This window comes from Homo sapiens, chromosome 15 (genome assembly GCF_000001405.40).
Source record: "Homo sapiens chromosome 15, GRCh38.p14 Primary Assembly".
NCBI classification, from domain to species: domain Eukaryota; kingdom Metazoa; phylum Chordata; class Mammalia; order Primates; family Hominidae; genus Homo; species Homo sapiens.
In genome coordinates, this window is record NC_000015.10 from 59,328,457 (window position 1) to 59,349,594 (window position 21,138).

General features: G+C 40.7%; 1 protein-coding gene and 1 pseudogene across 1 annotated transcript in view, besides 2 other annotated features; both read right to left on the reverse strand.

Annotated features, from left to right (window-relative positions):
* The window catches only part of MYO1E (myosin IE), a 240,438-nt gene that overhangs the window by 196,023 nt on the left and 23,277 nt on the right, over window positions 1-21,138 (reverse strand). The window lies entirely within an intron of this gene.
* Window positions 126-627: an enhancer, noted in NCBI's record as "NANOG hESC enhancer chr15:59620781-59621282 (GRCh37/hg19 assembly coordinates)". NCBI's record gives its function as "activates a minimal SCP1, AML or CMV promoter by ChIP-STARR-seq in naive H9 embryonic stem cells {active_cell/tissue: H9 hESC(naive)}" and the evidence as "EXISTENCE:reporter gene assay evidence [ECO:0000049][PMID:30033119]".
* Window positions 7,122-7,191: an enhancer, noted in NCBI's record as "active region_9488". NCBI's record gives its function as "activates an Ori minimal core promoter by ATAC-STARR-seq in GM12878 lymphoblastoid cells {active_cell/tissue: GM12878}" and the evidence as "EXISTENCE:reporter gene assay evidence [ECO:0000049][PMID:35858748]".
* Window positions 12,858-12,961, reverse strand: RNU6-212P (RNA, U6 small nuclear 212, pseudogene; annotated as a pseudogene).

Consider the following 21,138-nt stretch of genomic DNA (forward strand, 5'->3'; position numbering starts at 1 on the left):
AGAGGGGCCAAAAAGTTCATTTTTACAACCTCTATGAAACCCCAGTTGTGTTGTTGGTATCTCTTCATTTCATGAGACATAAATTCATAAATTAGTATTACTATACTTAGTATTTTATAATGACCAGTTATAGAAACTTAAAGGACATACACAACTCCAGCTGTGCAGAGATGACCCTGATCAGAATACAGATGTTTTGATCAACCTGCTACACATAGCTGTTCTGTGTGGAGGGGACCTCATCAGCCCTCAATATATTGGGCAATCTGTAGAAGACTCTGGTGTGGAGCATGCAAGGCCTATAGAGTTAAGCATTTAGGGCATGTGAAAAATCTAAGACACTGGTAAGTGAGTAGGTCCCAGGGCTACTTCTACCCATACGTTTGAGAAAACTAAGGCAGGGGTGTGTTACCCTCTTAGACTCTGTGGGAGGGCATTATCATCACAATTTACAGACAAGGAAACTAGTTCAGAGAGGTTAAGAAACTTTGCCCACAGCTAATCAGGACAGGGTTAGAATTTGAACTCAGCATCCTATCAATGACACCATAGCTGCTTCACGAAGATGACTGTTATCAACAGAAGGTACGGAGGACTCAAAATGGGTAATGTAAGTAATAATGAGAATATTATTCATGACAACAGTAACAATTAACATTGACTGAATGCTTACTGTTAATTTAACAAATGTGTGTTGAGCTCCTCACTATATGCCAGACACTGCTGGAGGCACTGGGAAGACAGCTCCTCCATGGAGCTTACAATCTAGTAAAGACTCATGCCAAGTCCCATGAATTATTCCTCTTAATCCTCAAGCAACACTATGACGTAGATACTGTTCTAACCTATATTCAGTGTGAGAGTCAGAGTGGTTAAAGGACTTACCTAACGTGCCATAGCTAGAAAGTGGTGTCGAGCTGGGGCCAGAGATCCTGAGAATCTTATGATCAATCCAGTTCATTAGGTACCCAATAGCAATCCTAAATGTGCATTGTTGGAGGAAAATGGACCAACGACTCAGAATGTAAACATTTCGGGTAGCCCCAAACCAAAAGAGATTTGACATCCATTCAAAAACTGCAGGAATACTCTAAAGAACATTCTAGGACCTCTGAAAATCACAGGGTGGTGAGCAGCCCACCCAAACTTTCCCACAGTCTAGTGTGCCTTCCAAGTTCATGGTCTCATATGACTCCATATGAAAACTGCCAGCCGTCAAATGCTGGACAGGCCAACTTCCTGAATAACCACCACTTTTTGATTCTCTCCTAAGGTCTTTAAAAGAGCAAACCACAGCTATTCTCACTTCCCAGAACCCTTTGCTGATTACAGCGTGAGATCAAATCCCCATGGACAGGGCGGACTGGTATTTCAAACATGAAACACTGGAATGCAGATTAATAATTTACCAATGACTGTAAACGAATATTATTCATGGAGGGAAAAAACTTCTCTCTTTTAAATGGGAACCCAGTCAGATTATCTCAGTACTTTAAGAAGCAAACTGCAAAATACCTTCTTAGAATTCAATATTTATTAACGCTGATGCTTTATTTTTTAAGAATTAACCATTCCCAGCTTCAATATTCTGCTTCAGCATAAAGTTCACTTTATTCTGCATGTGGATTTCTGTATTCTCTGCCCAGATAAATTAATACATATTCCAGAGTCTGGGGCCACGGTCAATGAAAAACCACAGCAAATTCCTAAGCAGTAAGAGATATTCCACATGGCTTGAAATGGCTGAAGGAGAATTTTTTTAAGGTTAAGAATCAAAGTGCTGTAATTGAAGATCTTAAAATCAAGCAGCAAGGCATTCTCAAGGTACCTAATGTTGACTTCAAGGATCATTTAAGGTAAACTTCCCTCTCCTCATCCTTCCTTGCTCACCCTCGAATCCAGTTTCCAGCTTTAAGAGTGGAACATTGCTGACATTAGGTCGGTGATGTTAACTTAAATTGGCAATGCAATGTAAAAAGTGGCAGGCAAAGTACGTATAACTCAATTACTTGAAAAAGTAAATATCCCCAAATATTCCCAAGGTCTGTTGTCAGGTTTTTGCCTAAGTCAATCTATAGGTACATGGCACAGGGAGGTACTGTAATAATAGTCTTTTGTAGGTAAATTTCTAAGCAAACTGCTTTAAAAAGCTATCCTTGATTCAACTTGCAGGTATTTACAATAGCACCCTCCATTCCATTTAATATTATAAGTGCACCTGTCCCACCTTTATGAAAATCATGTAGAACAGGAGTCAGCAAACTACAGCCCGTGAGCCAAATCTGGCTCAATGATTATTTTTAATTTTTATTTATTTGTGTTGGTTTTTTGAGACCGAGTCTTGCTCTGTCACCTAGGCTGAAGTGCAGTGGTGCAATCATGGCTCACTGCAACTTTGACCTCCCAACCTCAGACGATCCTCCTGCCTCAGCCCCTGCAGGTAGCTGGGACCACAGGCATGCACCATCACGCCCAGCTAACTTTTTAAAAATCTGCGGAGATGGAGTCTCCCTACGTTGCCCATGCTGCTCTCGAACTCCTGGGCTCAAGCAATCCTCCTGTGTCGTCCTCCCACAGTGCTGAGATTACAGGTGTGAGCCACGACGCCCAGTCTGATTGTTTTTGTAAACCAAGTTTTATTAGAAGACAGCCACGTGATTTCATGCTACAATGGCAGAGTTGAGTAGCTGTGACAGAGACTGTATGGTCCACAAAGCCTAAAATATTTACTATCTAGCCTTTTACAGAAGAATTTTGCTAAACCGATGTAGGATCAATGAGGAAAACCTTGAAAGATGTGACAGCAGCCTTGCTCAGTCCACAGGTGGACTCACTATATTATGGACACAGTAAGTGACAGGGCTTTTAAATCACAAGCACCTTCCTTTTCCAACCCCCATCTACAACTGGGGAAACATCTCTGAACTAAGGGAAGAGCACTGATATGAGAAATCAGAGGTCAGCAACATATCAGAAAAGAAACAACTGAGAACCAAGAAACTGCCCCATATTTCAGATGAGATGGGAGAGGTAGAACAATATATACAAACGGCAAGAAAAAGATCAGATAGACTCTCCTCTCCTAGAGATCGCAATCAACTTGATTATCAACACCAGCCCCAAATTGTTTTTTATTACAAAGGTATGTAGACACAGCACTCTACCACTCCAAAAATACTAAGATGGAAAGAAATGAATCCCAAATTTTCAACAACTTATATCCCTTCCACCATCTAAATTTCATTAGGTTAACAGGTCAGTAGCACATCTTTAAAAAGTATAAATAACTCTGTTAAAGTAATACCTGTCAGTCATTTTCACCTTGATGAAAATTATTAATGTTTCAATCAAATTTTCTTTTCTGTTTATATGTAGCTAGTTCTGGCTCTACAATTCTATAATTTCATGGTTTGATTTCACTGCATGCAGCTCTCTTTTATTATTGCAGGGCAAGGGTGATATTCAAAAGAGATGAAAGGAAACAAAGACTAATTTCACAGTAAGGGTAACGTGAGGCTACTACAAGTGGAATGAAGCCCAACGGCTCTCTTCTTTAGCCTGAAATCTAGGTTCTAGATAAAAATTGGGATGCGTATAAATTAAATTTAAAAGCAAAAGTATCCTACCATGTTGCAGTAACTTAGCTTTTCCTTCCTTTACCATTTTGTGTCCTAAAACAACTCTGTGAGTAGAAATAGATAATGTAGACATTATTTCCATTTTGCAAATGAGGAACTGTGTTGTCTGAGAGGTTAAATCACTTGCTCAAAGTCACGGGTAAGGGAGAATTCAAAGTCTTCTAACTGCCGCTACTTCTTTTGTGAGACAAAAGTGTGTGATAGGATTTACTGTGTCCAAGAATGCTGCCGATTTAACGGGAAGGAATCCTGGGCTTTTGTACAGCAACACATTTACCTTCTCAAAATTAAAAAGTAAACCCATTATTTACAAATTACAACTTGCAATTAGATGGGAAGAAGTAAGCATGCTGATCTAGGATTTCCATTATGTGGCTGACACTAGGGAGGCCACGTCCATTCTCATTAGAATACACAGATTACTAACCTGACAGCAGCAGCAGTCCACAGACAGGTGTTTCTAGATGTAGTGTCCCCTGTGCTATAAATCCACAGCAGGATTGTCAGTGATGTGTCTGATGCTACAGCCACATAAACTAACTTTCCCCATCACTTAGATCAGGCATTTTTGCTACTACTGAACAGAAGAGAGTTCAGGAATTGACTTTGCTGGCGCTCTATTTTTTTTTTTAATTTAATTTTTTAGAGACGAGGTCTCACTATGCTGTCCAGGCTGGTCTCAAAGCCCTGAGACCAAAGCTCAAGTGATCCTCCCACCTCGGCCGCCCAAAGTGTTGGGATTACAGGCATGAGCCACCACGACCGGCCCTGGGATTCTATTGGATGCAGCCAATTTCTTTGTCAAGATTGGCTCCATGCTGTTATTTAATCAGGTGTTTCCTACTGTGTAGACAAACCTAACAGCTCTCCATCTTAAAAAAGGAGTGAGGAATTGAGCTGGACAGAGATGTGCATTCCAAATTTTTCTTTCCTTTTCATAAAGACTTGATCGTCTTATTTATCTGGATTGGCCATACACAGTAATCTCACTAGCTGACAGTTGCTTAGTAAACACAACTGAAGGACAATCCACTAAGAAATGTCACATTTCTTTTAAACTCTGAAATCCTATATCCCAGTTCCACATCTTGCTTTTCAAGTTTCTGTTTTAACTATCCAGCTTCATCACTATCTACTTTCTTTCTTTTTCTTTTTCTTTTTTGGAGACAGGGCCTCGCTCTGTTACCCAGGCTGGAGTGCAGTGGTGCAATCTTGGCTGGCTGCAGCCTTGAACTCCCAGGCTCAAGTGATCCTCCACCACAGCAACCCCCGGAGTAGCTGGGATTACAGGCACTCCACCACCGCGCCTGGGTAATTTTTGTATTTTTTGTAGAGATGGAGTTTTGCCATGTTGGCCAGGCTAATCTCAAACTTCTGGGCTCAAGCGATCCTCCTGTCTCGGCCTCCCAAACTGCTAGGCTATAGGTGAGAGCGAGGTATCTACTTTTGAATCTAGTCCATCTACTCACCAACCTCCCACACCCATTGTGAAATTACTACTACTACCCACAACCCTACCACACAACACTGGACCTATTTCCCATTGGTGAGTGGGTATCCTTCCTCTGAGCAAATGGACTTCCTACTTCTTTCTAGATCCATTCTCTTCCTGCCTGGCTTTCAGCTTCTAGTTTTTCATGCTTTTTTCTCCCTTTATTCCTATGTTTATAGTTGAAAGCTAAACCACAAGAGTGAGTTCAGTAAATATTTTTTGAGCTTCCACTATGCATCTAAGTAAACACTTCAGAACCAGCATATATCCTCATAGGAAAGAGCTACTTCTTCCTCTGAAACCCCCTGGAAATATGCCCAGGTAATAGGGAAGCACATGAAAGGTAAGCGACTTCCTGACTGAATAGACCAATTGCACTCAGTTTTGTGGCAGTGGATATAAAAGAAATATGAAGAACCTCTCGTCAGTGGGGCACAATGACTCACACCTGTAATAGCAATGTTTTGGGAGACCAAAGTGGAAGGATCGCTTGAGACCCGGCTGGGCAACATAGTGACACTCCATCTGTACAAAAACTTTAAAAATTAGCCTGGCATGGTGGCACACGCCTGTAGTTCCAGCGACTCAGGAAGCTGAAGCAGGAGGGTCACCTGAGCCCAGGAGGTCAAGGCTGCAGTGAACCATGATTATTGCATCACTGCACTCCAGCCTGGGTAACCAAATGAGACCCTGTCTCAAAATAAATAAATAAGTAAAAATAACTAAAAGTATAATTGGAATGTTTGTAACACAAAGAAATTATAAAGGCTTAAGGTGATGGATACCCCATTTATCCTGATGTGATTATTATGCATTGTAGGACTGTATCAAAATATTGCATGTACCCCATAAATATATACACCTACTTTGTACGCATATGTTGTTTTTCTTAAAAAAAAAAAAAAATGACCATTTTAGACGACTCCTGACATAAACACAGAAAAATGCTACCAAATGTCCTCCTTTTCCATTATGGTAACAGCATATTCCCCCCACTGGTGACAAAGTGGCAGAAACTGCTACAGGACCAAAGTAGAATCAGATGGTATCAATAAAACTGCCAACTTCATCCAAATATTCTCCAAAGCTTATTAAGTCTCTGAAAGACGATTATACAGAGATCACTTGGCAAGGGCTTTCTTTCGCAGGCCCTTCCAGTCACAATGCTGGGTCTTTGGGTTCAGCCTGGCAGGGTCAAAAACAGAAGGAAATCAGAGAGAAATTTGCCAACTCTTCCACACTGACTACAAGAATGATTTACTTATCAGACTGGCATATATGTCTCCCTCATTTTGCTCCATCCACTTAGATGTCTCACGTACAGGTCACACTTTCAGAAACCTCATAGAGAATTGCCAAGCAGACAAAGGAAGCCTATTTGCAAAAAACACATCCACCAACTCCTCCTCGCTAAGAATATCCCTGAAGAAGTTCTAACACATTTATTAGTGTAAAGATTTAACACAAAGATTGTCTCAAAGAGAACATTCACACCACACTGGGTCAAACCGTGAAAGAGAAAAACAAGGGCATTCTTGTGGCATCTAAGCCTACTCAGAATAATCTTTATTCATTATTTGCATAGCTCATGGCTTTATATTTTTATTATTAAAGTGCAATTTTGACGTTCAAATTTAAGAAGAATAAAGAACAAGATTTGGCACCACTTGGTGGATATATGTACTATCCTTGGTATGTAGTAAAAGGTGGACTAGCATCAAAGAGTGTGAAAACGACTCCAAGCTACTTTCAGACACTTCAGCTGGCAAGCGCAGGCTGCTACAGTATGAGATGTAATCTGCCAAATACCACAGAATGCAAGATTTTACGGATTTTGAAAGAAGCAAGTGATGATTCTGTGGCCACATCAGGAGAGCATGTTTTCTGCATCAATAAATCTGTGCCGAATATGAATAAAAAAAAAACCCACTTGGTTCTACCTCAAGGGCTGCTTTTCACCATTGTCCCACACATAAGCCAGGGCTGGAAAAGTACAAGAGACCCGGCCAGGCTTGCTCTCAGATCTCTTTGAAGTCCCCCACCTGTTTTCCTAGCTACTTGGAGGCCACGATGGACTTACATTTAAACTATATTAGACCTCATGCCTCAGAGATAGGCCACTGCTAAGCAGCCTGAGCATTTATTTACCAATTAACTTAGTCCGGCATTTTGAGAGGTAGTGGGAGAGACACGGACGCATTCAAATGACTCCCCTTGAGATGTCAGGAAAGAACCTGTATCATCTGAAGCCATGTGTGGCCCTGATTCATGCGGAGGAATGAGTGTCACGGACTATAAGCGGTGCTGTCTGCACACACTTGTTCTGATGCCTTTCCAATGAGAACCCGGCTGTGTGCTGTGGGCTCTCTCTGGTCACACAAAAAAACAAGTCCTGCAGCAACTCAAGTGTGCTACCCCCTCTCCCACTACACCCAAAATATTAACACAAAAGCAAAAAAAAAAAAAAATCTTGAAACTTTTTCTGGAATTAAAAAAAAACTAGGCCGAGTGCAGTAGCTCAGGCCTGTAATCCCAACATTTTGGGAGGCTGAAGCGGGCAGATCACTTGAGGCTAGGAGTTTGAGACCAGCCTGGACAACATGCCAAAACGCCATGTCTAAAAAAAATACAAAAATTAGCTGGGTGCGATGGCGTGGCCCTGTAGTCCCAGCTACTCAGAGGCTGAGGCAGGAGAATTGCTTGAGCCCAGGAGATGGAGGTTGCAGTGAGCCGAGATCATGCCACTGCACTCCAGTCTCGGTGATGGGAGTGAAACGCTGTCTCAAAAAAAAGAAAAGAAAAAACCCTAGATTCAAAGGGACATACATAAATAAGGTAAATAAGGTTTATTTATGTCCCTTTAAAACTAGCAGTCAGGCTTTCATAAGTAACTTTTATTTTTAAAATTATGTGTTTTTAATAGTACTTGAATTTTGGACATGTGTTGGATCATCTGAGAATTCTCTGATACCTCCAGTAATTCACATAGTACACCCCTGGTCTTTTTTTGTTTTGTTTTGTTTTTTAATTATACTTTAAGTTCTGGGATACATTTGCAGAACGTGCGGGTTTGTTACATAGGTATACACGTGCCATGATGGTTTGCTGCATCCATCAACCCATCATCTACATCAGATAATTCTCCTACCCCTCCCCTAGCCCCCCACCCCCTGACAGGCCCCAGTGTGTGATGTTCCCCTCCCTGGTCCACGTGTTCTCATTGTTCAGCTCCCACTTGTCAGTGAGAACATGCGGTGTTTGGTTTTCTGCTCCTAGGCTGGTTTGCTGAGAATGACGGTTTCCAGCTTCATCCATGTCCCTGCAAAGGACATGAACTCATCCTTTTTTATGGCTGCATAGTATTCCACAGTATATATGTGCCACGTTTTCTTTATCCTGTCTATCATTGATGGACATTTGGGTTGACAACTCCTAGTTTTAAAAAAAAAAATCTATGCTTATATAATACCTCCTTGCAGTTACTGAATTGTACAGTTATTGAATTGTTTATCTTTTACAAAGCACTTCTACTTTATTTCATTTGATTCTTATGGAGGTGTTTTATTATTATGAATATTTCCGTTTTACAGATGTAAAAATGGAGGGAACTGATTAAGATGACAAGAGCCAGGATTCAAACCAGGGCTCCACACTCTAAATTTCTATTGAATAATTTTTAAGTTTCCTAAGTTTACTACAGGTATGAAAACAAAACATAAGGCAGGCAATTATGATGAAACCTGCTCTGCTCAGGAATGGAGTTGTGTTATCCATATCTACAACTGCTGAGCTTGATTGTGATTTTTCTAAACATGAACATTCATCAGATATAATTCGTATAATATAAAGCACATGGTTTTATTCTGTTCTACAATTTCGCATTTGGCAGAAAATAGAGCTTTAGCCTACATTATGAAACTTAAAAGAACATTCAGACTACTATAGTCAAAAATATTTCGCTCGGCTGGGCACAGTGGCTCACGCCTGTAATCCCAGCACTTTGGGCAGCCAAGGCAGACAAATCACTTGAGGTCAAGAGTTCGAAACCAGCCTGACCAACATGGAGAAACCCCGTCTCTACTAAAAGTATAAAAAATTAGCCGGGCGTGGTGGTTTGCTCCTGTAATCCCAGCTACTCGGGAGGCTGAGGCAGGAGAATCGCTTGAACCCAGGAGGTGGAGGTTGCAGTGAGCTGGGATCGTGCCACTGCACTCCAGCCTAGGCAACAGAGCAAGACTCCATCTCAAAAAAGAAAAAAAAATCTCGCTCACAGAGTTCTTATAGGACAAAGTAAAATCTAAGCTTAGATATATCTTTACTCAATAAGGCAAATCACTTAAACATCCTCCATACATTTCCCTGTCCATGATGTGGCTAATATGGTTAAATTAAACTCCTTTTTTTCCTCCTACTCAACTGAGAAATGTCAGCGAAGAGTGTAAATTAATCAAACAAAATCCTTCTAAAGGAAATAAGCTCTGTGGTCTTTGCAGAGTCAGGTAATAGGTGTAACTAAAGTGGCCCTATATTGACAACTGCATTGTGAGGCAAGGCAAGAAAAAGTGTTCAAGTCTAAAAAAAAAAACAAAAATGAATAGATTGCTTAGGAATTTGGTAGCTGTCTCTACTTACAAATGAATTTCTATTTTCATTAATATAATTTTTTATAATAGCTATATAAACTAGATCAGTATTGACTTTTTTTTTTTTTTTTTGCTTGAAAGAGGAGTTGAAATGTCTTCCACAGCACATAGTACGTTCCTGACTCCCAGATCTGTGCTGAGCAAACTTTCTGAGTTTTTCAACCTTGGTCAATGAGAGGACTGTGTTTATTATAAATCCATGAAGGGATATCACCTGCTGAATTGCAGAGAACAGAGAAAAATGTTTCCTCTCTGGTTTTAGAACATCTCCTCTTAAGCTCGCTCCATAAAACACTCAGCCAACCCTGCCTGCAAGATGTCCTCAGTGCTGAGCCAGGACTGTCTCTATGGGCTCTCAGGAGTATTGGGGCTGGTCTCCAACCACCCTGCTAAGCTGGGAAAAACAGTAGGGGAGTTTCAACTATTGCTAACCTGTAACCACTTCCCACAGGCAGGAGGAGCAAGGTCCTTGAAAACCCATTTGGGTAAAAATTTAGAATGATATGGGGCAAACAGTGCAAGAGAACCAAAGACAGGGGTGAAACTACCTACAAAGGTCTATCAACATCTAAAAATAGACATTTAAACAATGAAGAGTGCACCCTATAAATAAAACATCAGGCTGGGCGCTGTGGCTCATGCCTGTAATCCCAGCATTTTTGGAGGCCGAGGCAGGTGGATCACCTGAGGCCAGGAGTTCAAAACCAGCCTGGCCAACATGGCGAGACCTCATCTCTATTAAAAATACAAAAATTAGCCAGGCGTGGTGGCACATGCCTGTAATCCCTGCTACTGGGGAGGCTGAGGCATGAGAATTGCTTGAACCTGGGATACAGAGGTTGCAGTGAGCCAAGATTGTGCCACTGCACTCCAGCCTGGGTGGCAGAGCAAGACTCTGTCTCAAAAAAAGAAAATGTCAATGACACATTTTATTCAACTTGAAGTAGTAATAATGGGTACTAAACTCTTCCATTTTATCAAACCTCAATAGACAGAAACCTTTCAGAGCCTTCCTCTCCACTGGTTCTAATGGATGGTGTGGAATGATACACAGTGCTTGGATACAGATTTTATGTGTAACAAGAGATGTTTTCCTGTTCCTGGTTTTCTAACCAAATATTTGACTGACCTTCTGGTTTCCAAATGGAGACAGAAATGTAAGATAGCTTGGTTATTTGACGTACAAAACCTTTGACCTAACTGACTCCATACTGTAGAATTGGTATTTCTCAACTTCACTACCCCGATATTCACAGTAGTCCAGCCTCCTATTGACTGCCTTCATCCAGAACACAGCCCCTCCCAAGAGACACAAAAGGGCAGCTCTGGGCATGTTAGGCTCCCATCCCAGACATTCTTCATGTTGATTCATCTGTGTTTCTCTCCTAATAGGGTTGTTCAGTCACCCAGTTTCCTTCTCGTTCCTATAGTCAACTTCCAATTAAAAGGTCTCCCTACTAAGAATTTTAAAAATTCAGTCCATGTATGGTGGCTCCAGCCTGTAATCCCAGCAGTTTTGCGGCCAAGGCCTGAAGACTGCTTGAGCCCAGGAGTTAAAGACCAGCCTAGACAATATAGCGAGATACCTTCTCTACAAAATTTTATATATACATACTTTTTTTTGTTTTTTTTTTTTTTGACAGAGTCTTGCTCTGTCGCCTAGCCTGGAATGCGGTGGCACAATCCCGGCTTACTGCAACCTCTGCCTTCTGGGTTCAAGCAATTCTCCTGTCTCAGCCTCCCTAGTAGCTGGGATTACAGGTGTCCGCTACCACATCTGGCTAATTTTTTTGTTGTTGTATTTTTAGTAGAGACAGAATTTTGCCATGTTGGCCAGGCTAGTCTCAAACTCCTGACCTCAGGTGATCTGCCTGTCTCGGCCTCCCAAAGTGCTGGGATTACAGGCATGAGCCACTGCATCTGACCTCTACAAAATATTTTTTAAATTGGCTGGGCATGGTGGTGTGCAACCTATAATCGAGAAGCATGAGGATCGCTTGAACCCAGGAGATCGAGGCTGCAGTGAGCCATGATCGTGCCACTGAACTCCAGCCAGGATGACAAGCGACACCTTGTCTCAAAAAAAATAGCAATTTTTTAAACCCCGCCTGATCGTTAAATTAAATAAGGCAAACTTTTCACATTAACCTTTTTTTTTTTGAGGTTCTATTTCCGTGATGTGCTGTGTTTTTGTTTTACTTTCTCTAGACAGTCTAATTTCTATGGACTATTGGAAGGAGGAGGAAAATTGTCAGGAAAAAGTAATACTTGAGTTGGTTTTCTATGACGTCACTCACTGTGTTTTTACCATGTGTAGTATCAAATAACAGTAGCATCAAATGACATGTTTACAATTGCCTTTGCAAATAACTGCCGTTTCTAAGTTCATTACTCCTCTTACTATTTTTTATTTCTAATTTGCTTGGACATTTAATGTCCAAAGTAAAACTAACTTTATAATATTTGGTTTTTATTCAGGAATAAAATCAGGAAGGATTTAAGAAAAATCTTCAGCCAGGCATGGTGGCTCATGCCTGTAATCCCAGCACTTTGGGAGGCTGAGGCGGGAGGATCACGAGGTCAGCAGTTCAAGACCAGCCTGGCCAACATGGTGAAACCCCATCTCTACTAAAAATACAAAAATCAGCTGGGCGTGGTGGCACACACCTGTAATCCCAGCTACTCGGGAGGCTGAGGTAGAAAAGCTTGAACAGGGGAGGCAGAGGTTGCAGTGAGCTGAGATCCCGCCACAGCACTCCAGCCTGGGACAGAGCGAGACTCCATCTCAAAAAAAAAAAAAAAAAAGAAAAAAAAGAAAAAAAGAAAAATCTTCAAAGAACATAAAATTCATTTTAATTTTTAATTTTTGGGCATATATAAGTAGGTGTATATGGATATTTTGATACAGGCATGCAATGTGTAATAATCACATGATCGAAAATGGGGTATCCACACCCTCAAGGATTTATCCTTTGTGTTTCAAAAAATCCAGTAATACTCTTTTAGTTATTTTTAAATGCACAAATTATTATTGACTATAGTCTTTCTGTTGTGCTAGCAAACACTAGATTTTTTTTTTCAATAACATTTAAAATACACTTCATGAATTTGCATGACATCCTTGCTCAGGAGCCATGCTAATCTTCTCTGTGTCATTCCAATTTTAGTATACGTGTTACTGTGAGCATGCAAATGCTAGCTCTTATTCATTCTATTATTTCTAACTATTTCTTTGTACCCATTAACCATAACCCCTGTCTCCCCAGTTCTCCTTCCCAGCCTCTGGTAACCATCATTCTATTCCCTATCTCTATGAGTTCAATACTTTTAATTTTTAGCTCCCACAAATAAGTGAGAAAATATGAAATCTGTCTTTCTGTGCCTAGCTTATTTCACTTAACATAATGACCTCCAGTTCCATTCATATTCTTGCAAATGACAAATGACAGGGTTTCATTCTTTTTTATTGCTGATTAGTACTCTGTTGTGTATCTGTACCACATCTTCTTTATGTGATGAATGATTTCATTCATCATTTGATGGACACTTAGGTTGATTCCAAATATTTGCTATTGTGAATAGTGCTAGGATAAACATGGGAGTGCAGCTATCTCTTCCATATGCTTATATCCTTTCTTTAAGGTATACACCTACCAATGGAATTGCTGGATCATAAGGTAGCTAGCTCTGTTTTTAGTTTTTAAGGAACCGCCCTTCTGTTCTCCACAGTGGCTATACTCATTTATATTTCCACCAACGGTGTATGAGAGTTCCCTTTTCCCCTTTTCTTCACATCCTTGCCAGCATTCATTATTGCCCGTCTTCTGGATAAAAGCCATTTTTACTTGGGTGAGATGATACCTCATTGTAGTTTTCATTGGCATGTCTCTGATTTTCAGTGGTGTTGAGCACCTTTTCATACACCTGTTTGCCATTTGTATGTCTTCTTTTGAGAAATGTCTATTGATATCTTTTGCCCATTTTAAAATCAGATTAGATTTTTTCCTACAGAGTTATTTGAGTTCCTTCTGTATTCTGGTGATTAAACCCTTGTGAGATGGAAAGTTTGCAAATATTTTCTCCCATTCTGTGGGTTGTCTCTTCATTTTGTTGATTTTTTCTTTTGCTGTGTGGAAGGAAGCTTTTTAACTTGATGTGATCCCATTTGTCCAAAAAATCTTTGCTTAGACCAATGTCCTGGAGTCTTCCCAATGTTTTCTTTTAGTAGTTTCATAGTTTGAAGTCTTAGATTTAGGTCATTCATCCATTTTCATTTGATTTGGTGAAGTGTGTTGCTTGTAGGCAACAGATCCTTGGGTCTTGCTTTTTATCCATTCAGCTATTCTATGTCTTTTGATTGCAGAGTTTAGTCTATTTACATTCAATGTTATTACTGATAAGTGAGGCCTTACTCCTGCCACTTTGTTATTTGTTGTCTGGTTGTTTTGTGGTCTTCTCTTCCTTCTGTCCTTCTTTCCTATCTTCCTTTAAGGTGATTTTCTCAGTTGGCACATTTTAAATTCTTCCTTTTTATTTTCTGTGTACCTGTTGTATGTTTTTTAGATTTGAGGTTACCATGAGGCTTGCAAATAACATCTTATAACCCATTATTTTAAACTGATCACAACTTAACATCGATTGCATAAACAAAAAGCAAAAAGACAACCAATAAAAACTCTATAATTTTGTCTCCCCACTTTTTAACATTTTGTTGTTTCTATTTATCTTACTGTACTGTCTATGCCTTGAAAAGTTATTATTTTTTATGGGTTCATCCTTTCATCTTTCTATTTGAGATATGTATAGTTTACACACTACTATTATACTGTTATAATATTCTGTGTTTTTCTGTGTACTTACTATTACCAGTGAGTTTTGTACCTTCAGATGATTTCTCATTGCTTGTTAACATCCTTTTCTTTCAGATTGAAGAACTCCCTTTAGCATTTCTTGTAGGATAGGCCTGGGGTTGATAAATCCCTCAGCTTTTGTTTGTCTGGGAAGGTCTTAATTTTTCCTTCATGTTTGGAGGATATTTTTGCCAGATATACCATTCTAGAGTGAACTCTTTTTTTTTTTTTAATGCTTCAGCACTTTATGCCACTCTCTCCTGGCCTGTACAGTTTCCACTGAAAAGTCTGCTGCCAGACGTGTTGGAGCTCCATCATATGTTATTTGTTTATTTTCTGTTACTGCTTTTAGGATCCTTTCTTTATCCTTGACCTTTGGGAGTTTTGTTATTACATGCCTTGAGGTAATTTCCTTTTAGTTAAATCTGCTTGGTGTTCTATAACCTTCTTGTACTTAAACTTTGATATCTTTTGTTTGGGAAGTTATCTTATTATCCCTTTGAATAAACTTTCCACCATTATCTCTCTCTCTCTACCTCCTTTAAGGCCAATAATTCTTGGATTTGCCCTTCTGAAGCTATTTTCTAGATCTTGTAGGTGGGCTTCATTCTTTTTTATTCTTTTTTCTTTTGTCTCCTCTGACTGTGTATTTTCAAATAGTCTGTCTTCAAGCTCACTAATTCTTTCTTCTGCTTGATCAGTTCTGCTACTAACAGACTCTGACGCATTCTTCAGTACGTCAATTGCATTCAGCAGCTCGAGAATTTCTGCCTGATTCTCTTAACTTACTTCAATTCCTTTGTTAAATGTATCTGATAATATTCTGAGTTCCTCCTCTGTGTTACCTTGAATTTGAGTTTCCTCAAAACAGCTATTTTAAGCTCTCTTTCTGAAAGGTCCCATATCTCTGTCTCTCTGGGATTGACCCCTGGTCAATTTATTTCATTTGGTAAGGCCATGTTTTCCCAGATGGTTTTGATGCTTGTGGATATTCATGGATGTCTAGGCACTGAAGAGTTAAGAATTTATTGTAGGCTTCACAATCTGGAGTTGTTTGTACCCATCCTTCTTGGGAAGGCTTTCCAAGTATTCAAAGGGACTTGGTTGTTATGATCTAAGTTTGTGGACACCACAGCCGTATCTGCATTATGGGGTACCCCAAGCCCAGTAACACTGTAGTTCTTGCGGACTCGTAGAGGTACTGCCTTGGTGGTCTTGTGTAAGATCCAAAAGAACTCTCTGGATTACCAGGCAGAGACTCTTGTTCTTTTCCTTTACTTTTTCCCAAACAGAGTTTTGCTCTCTGTGCTGAGATGTGTGGAGCTAGGGGAAGGGTGACAAAAGCACCCCTATGGCCACCACCACTGGGGACTGCAGGTCTGACCTGAAGCCAGCACAACACTGGGTCTTGCCCAAGGCCTGTATAATTATCTGGCCTATGTTCCCTCAAGGCCCTAGGGCTCTACAATCATCAAGTAGTGAAGCCAGCTAGGCTTGTGTCCTTTCCTTCAGGACAGCCCTGGGCCCAGGTAGGTCCAGAGATGCTATCAGGGAACCAGGGTCTGGAGTCAGAAATGTTAGAAATCTACTGAGTACTTTATTCTACTGTGGCTAAGCTGGCACCAAAACCACCAAAGTCCTTCCCACTCTTACCTCCCACCTTTCCCCAAGCAGGTATCTCTTCCCGTGTTCTCCACCCCACAGGCCCACGGGGAGTGCTGCCAGGGCACCACCAATCAAAGAGCATAATATTTAGATTCAATAAATACAAGCAGCCATTAGCCAGTCAATAGGCACTAGAATCAATAGGTACTAAAAGACCAAGAACTCAAACCAGCATGTCATTTTTTAAAAATCAACTCATCTGTTTGCATATTGATAGGATATGACCAGAGCTTTCAAAATAACTTGAAGTACTTTATTTAGAAAGACAAACAGAAAAAATTTTAAATGCCTAACTTTTTATGAAGAAAAAACATCAAGAAAGAAAGAGGCTTGACCAATCGGGTAGACAGAAGAGCCACTTCTCCCTGAAGATGAGGGACTTCAGAAGCCACAGCAGATTAAACACATTGAGCCCACTGGAAGCTCTTTTCTAAAAGCAATCAGATAATGGTACACAGAATGGCTAACAGATCAGACAGGCAGTTGAAGTATTTAAATGAGAGAGAGAGAAAAAAAAAAAACCTAAGCAAAGTGCAGAATATTGCAGAAGAAATACAGCATAAAAAAGCAAAGGTATCAGGACTGAGAGTTTAACTCTTACCACACATTACCCTCTCTGAGCCTCAGCTTTCTCTTGGGGAGCCTCAAAATCCTGTGCTCAAGGGATTCTCCTGCCTCTGCCTCCTGATTAGCTGGGACTACAGGCACATGTGCCACCACACTCAGCTAATTAAAAAAATGTTTTTAGAAATAGGGGTCTTACTATATTGCCCAGCTTTACCAGCTTATTAGAAGCCAGTGGGTTAAGCATTGACCTTTAACTTTGGCTTTTCATCTGCTGTCAAAAAATAGAACTGCCTAACTACTTTTATACTTCCTGTGATACAAGATGATTGAGGAAAGACAGGGAAATGCAAAGAGAGAGGTACCAGGAATAGAACATTGTTAACAGCTGGCATGCCCTGACTCAGGGAATGGAGGGGTATTTAGCCTGTGGATGCTAAGGATGTATAGAATATTTACCAATTCTCAGAGTCTCTAAGGCCTTCTGTGAGTTATCCATGGTTTAGACACATGTCTGGATTAAAGAGTTACTGTTACTTTCCTCTGCTTTCACATAAAACTTCCTTAAAGCTGTGACAACAATTCTGGGGTAGAGGGATGAGGTTTTATCCAGCAGTTGCATTGCTTTCTTTCTAAAAGACTTTCAAATGCAGCTAAAACACGTGGAGGTAGTACTTCCGAATGCATGTGAGTGAATATCACTTTATAGTTTGCAAAACACTTTTTATATAATTGGTTCTTAGAATTACTTGATTCCTGGAATCAACATTTTTTCCTTCTGAGATTGTAAGCAAAGGTCTGGCTCCCACTTCTGAATCCCTCATTCAGCTAGGCAGAATTAACACATCTTTCCCCTTCTTCCACTTGTGCTTTCTTGACCTCAGGATGACGAGGTGCATCACTGAACATCCAGCCCCCGACCAGGGACCTATTCAGAAGCACGAACTGCAGGCTGTGTCCCACCATGGATCACATTCAGCCCAGACTCAGCTCCTTCTGCAACCCTGCCAAAGAGCCTACGAATGACGGCCCCATAGCCCAGGCCACTCTATTAATGAAGAAGAGTGCACTGGGACACTTGAGGAGAACCTGTTTTGTCTCATGTTTTTGAAGCAAGAGTAAAAAATGGAATGCCTCAAAATGCTACAATCCCTCTATATTCAGGTGAGGGAGATTCTTGTAATTCTGTGGGTTATGACATGATATCCATTAAATTATAAGAACTATGGATAAAATTATTAATATTTTCAAAAGACAATGTTTTAGGAAATATCCCATTCAAATCAGTAACAAGGGTAATAAAATGCCAGTAATAAACTTAAGAAATGGGGAAGATGGCTGGGCATGGTGTCTCACGACTGTAATCCCAGCACTTTTGGAGGATCACTAGAGCCCAGGAGTTCAAGACCAGCCTGGGTAACATGGCAAAACCTTATCTCTACAAAATAAACAAATAAAATTAGCTGGGCATGAAGGCACACAGCTGTAGTTCCAGCTACTCAGGAGGCTGAGATGGGAGGATTGATTGATCCCAGGAGGTGGAGGTTGCAGTGAGCCCTGATCATGCCACTGCATTCCAGCCTGGGTGACAGAGCGAGACCTTGTCTCCCAAAAAGAAAAAAAAAAAAAAGTGAAAGAATTGTGTAAAGAAAAGCATAAAGATGAATGGAGGCCCCTGAAAGAAGGGCTGATGGGGAAGGACACCATGTCTGTGGGTATAAGGCATCAGTTACAAAGACGTTCACCTTCTCAAAGTGCTCTAGAGCACGGGTTCCCAACCCCGGGGCCATGGACCCGTGCTGGCAGTGGCCTGTCAGGAACCGGGCTGCACAGCAGCAGGTGAGTGGCTGGTGAGCAAGCATTACCGCCTGAGCTCCGCCTCCTGTAAGATCAAAGCAGCACTAGATTCCCATAGAAGCACAAAGCCCATTGTGAACCGAATATACGCAGGATCCAGGCTGCGCGCTTCTAATGAGAATCTAATACCGATTATCTGAGGTGGAACAGTTTTCTCCCAAAACCATCCCCACTCCACACCCCAGGCTGCAGAAAAGCTGTCTTCCACGAAACCGGTCCCTGGTGCCAAAAAGGTTGGGGACTGCTGCTCTAGAGGGTTCATGCTACTCCAACCAAAGTTCCAAAGAGATTTTCTTATGGAACTTTGACACATTGATTCTAAATTTTATCTGGAAGAGTAAATGAGTATAAATTGCCAAGAACTCACTTAAAAAGGAATTTAATTAGTAAAGTCTTGCCAAAAATAAAAATTAAAACATATTCCGAAACTAGAGTAATTATAGAATGTGGTACTAGCAACTGGTTTAGGAATAAAGAAAAGGATCAAGGAAACAGAAGAGGCTAGAAACATATGATAGATATGAATTTAACATAAGATAAAGGTGGCACTTCACAACAGGAGACAAAGAATGCACCAGTGAATAAATTATTTTTAAGACCACTAACCATGCATTTGGAAAAAATTATACCCCTCACACCAGAAAAGTAAATTTCGGGTGACATAAGGAGCTAAAATTTAAAAATACAAAAAAGTTCTAGAGAAAATATGTATGTAATTACATAATTTGGGGTTAAGGAAGACAATCTAGGAAAAGAAAAACACCCTGCTGCTTATGATCCAAGACCCACGTCATTTTCAATTCCACACAGCTGTAAAGCAGCGGCTCTCCTATCAGTTTTTCCACTGGAATCACCTGGAACCCTGGTGAAAAACAGATTTTGAAGCCTCATCCCAAACCTGCTGAATCACCTCCTCAGGTGGTTTTGATGCCTCGCCATGTTTTGGAGGCCTCTGGTCTAGGGTCAATGCCACAGTGGGGAGGAGGTAAGAGAATGCAGGTGGTAAAACTACCATAGCCTTGACAGCGATGAAACCCCCCAGGTGCTAGTCACACAAAGGCTTACCTTTTGTAAAGTCCCCTGGGAACTAGTTTCCTATTTATTCAAGTCAGCTGTATTAAATAATACCCTCCCTAACCAAAAACGCCAAAACCACAAAACTTCCTAAGTTACATGGTGTGTTGCAGCATGGCAAAAATACATCCTGATCAGTTTGCATTTGGTGTTGCATCAAATTATGGCATAGCCCACAATGCTTAAACATCCATCAACAGTGGCTCTCAACCTAGGCTGCTTTTAGGAACCATCCAGGAAGCTTTGAAAAGTAATACAGTTGTGTCTGAATCCTTTTGGTCTAGGATGGTGCCCAAGGGTTGTCATTTTTAAAAAGCACTACGGGTGAATTTTAGCTGGATAAAGACCATTGGCTATATGTCAGAAACAACTTCTGCTCCTTGGAGTTCAATATCATTTTTTTTTTTTTTGAGATGGAGTCTCACTCTGTTGCCCAAGCTGGAGGGCAATGGCACGATCACAGTTCACTGCAACCTCCGGCTCCCAGGTTCAAGTGATTCTCCTGCCTCAGCCTCTCGAGCAGCTGGGATTACAGGCATGCGCCACCATGCCCGGCCAATTTTGTATTTTTAGTAGAGATGGGGTTTCACCATGTTGGTCAGGCTGGTTTCAAACTCCTGACCTCAGGTGATCCGCCCACCTAGGCCTCCCAAAGTGCTGGGATTATAGGCGTGAGCCACCGCACGCAGCCGAGTTCAATATCTTAATGAGACACAAAAGCTTAAAGGGTCTAACACAAGGCAGAACATGATGCATGAGGTAAGAACATTTCAAACTAGGTGCCATGGACATATGGAAGAGGAAGGTGACTATCTGGGAAGGCTTGGGGGTCCAGGGGAGGGAATTTTGTTGAGCCTAGATCTAGAAACTGATCTAAGACTTGGACATGATGGAAGGACACCCAGGCAAGGGGAAAAAAGGGGATCATTTGAAACCTTATTAATAGTAATTATTAATTAGTAATTATTTCATTTTCCTCCCATAACTTCCCATATAAACATCTTAGGTATATATGCATATGCCTCCTATATTTTTTCTATTTGCAATTATAATTTTCTAATGATTTTGTCATACTGCATATGAAATGGATATAATTATGTCTTTAGCTTCTAGACAAGGCTGTGATTCCTCTAGCTCAGGGTTAAGGCAGAAAAGGGTGTCTTTCCTCCACTCCCAGTAATGCACTATTAGCAATCTACCATATAAAAAAGGGTAAACTGAACCCACTCTATTCAGAAAATTTCAACTCACAAACCTTCTTTAAATTACCCAGCGAGTTAGGGAGGAGGATGATGAGAAATCATCCTCATCCTTGCCAAGAATTTTTTCAAATAAGCAAACTATCCTGCCCAAAT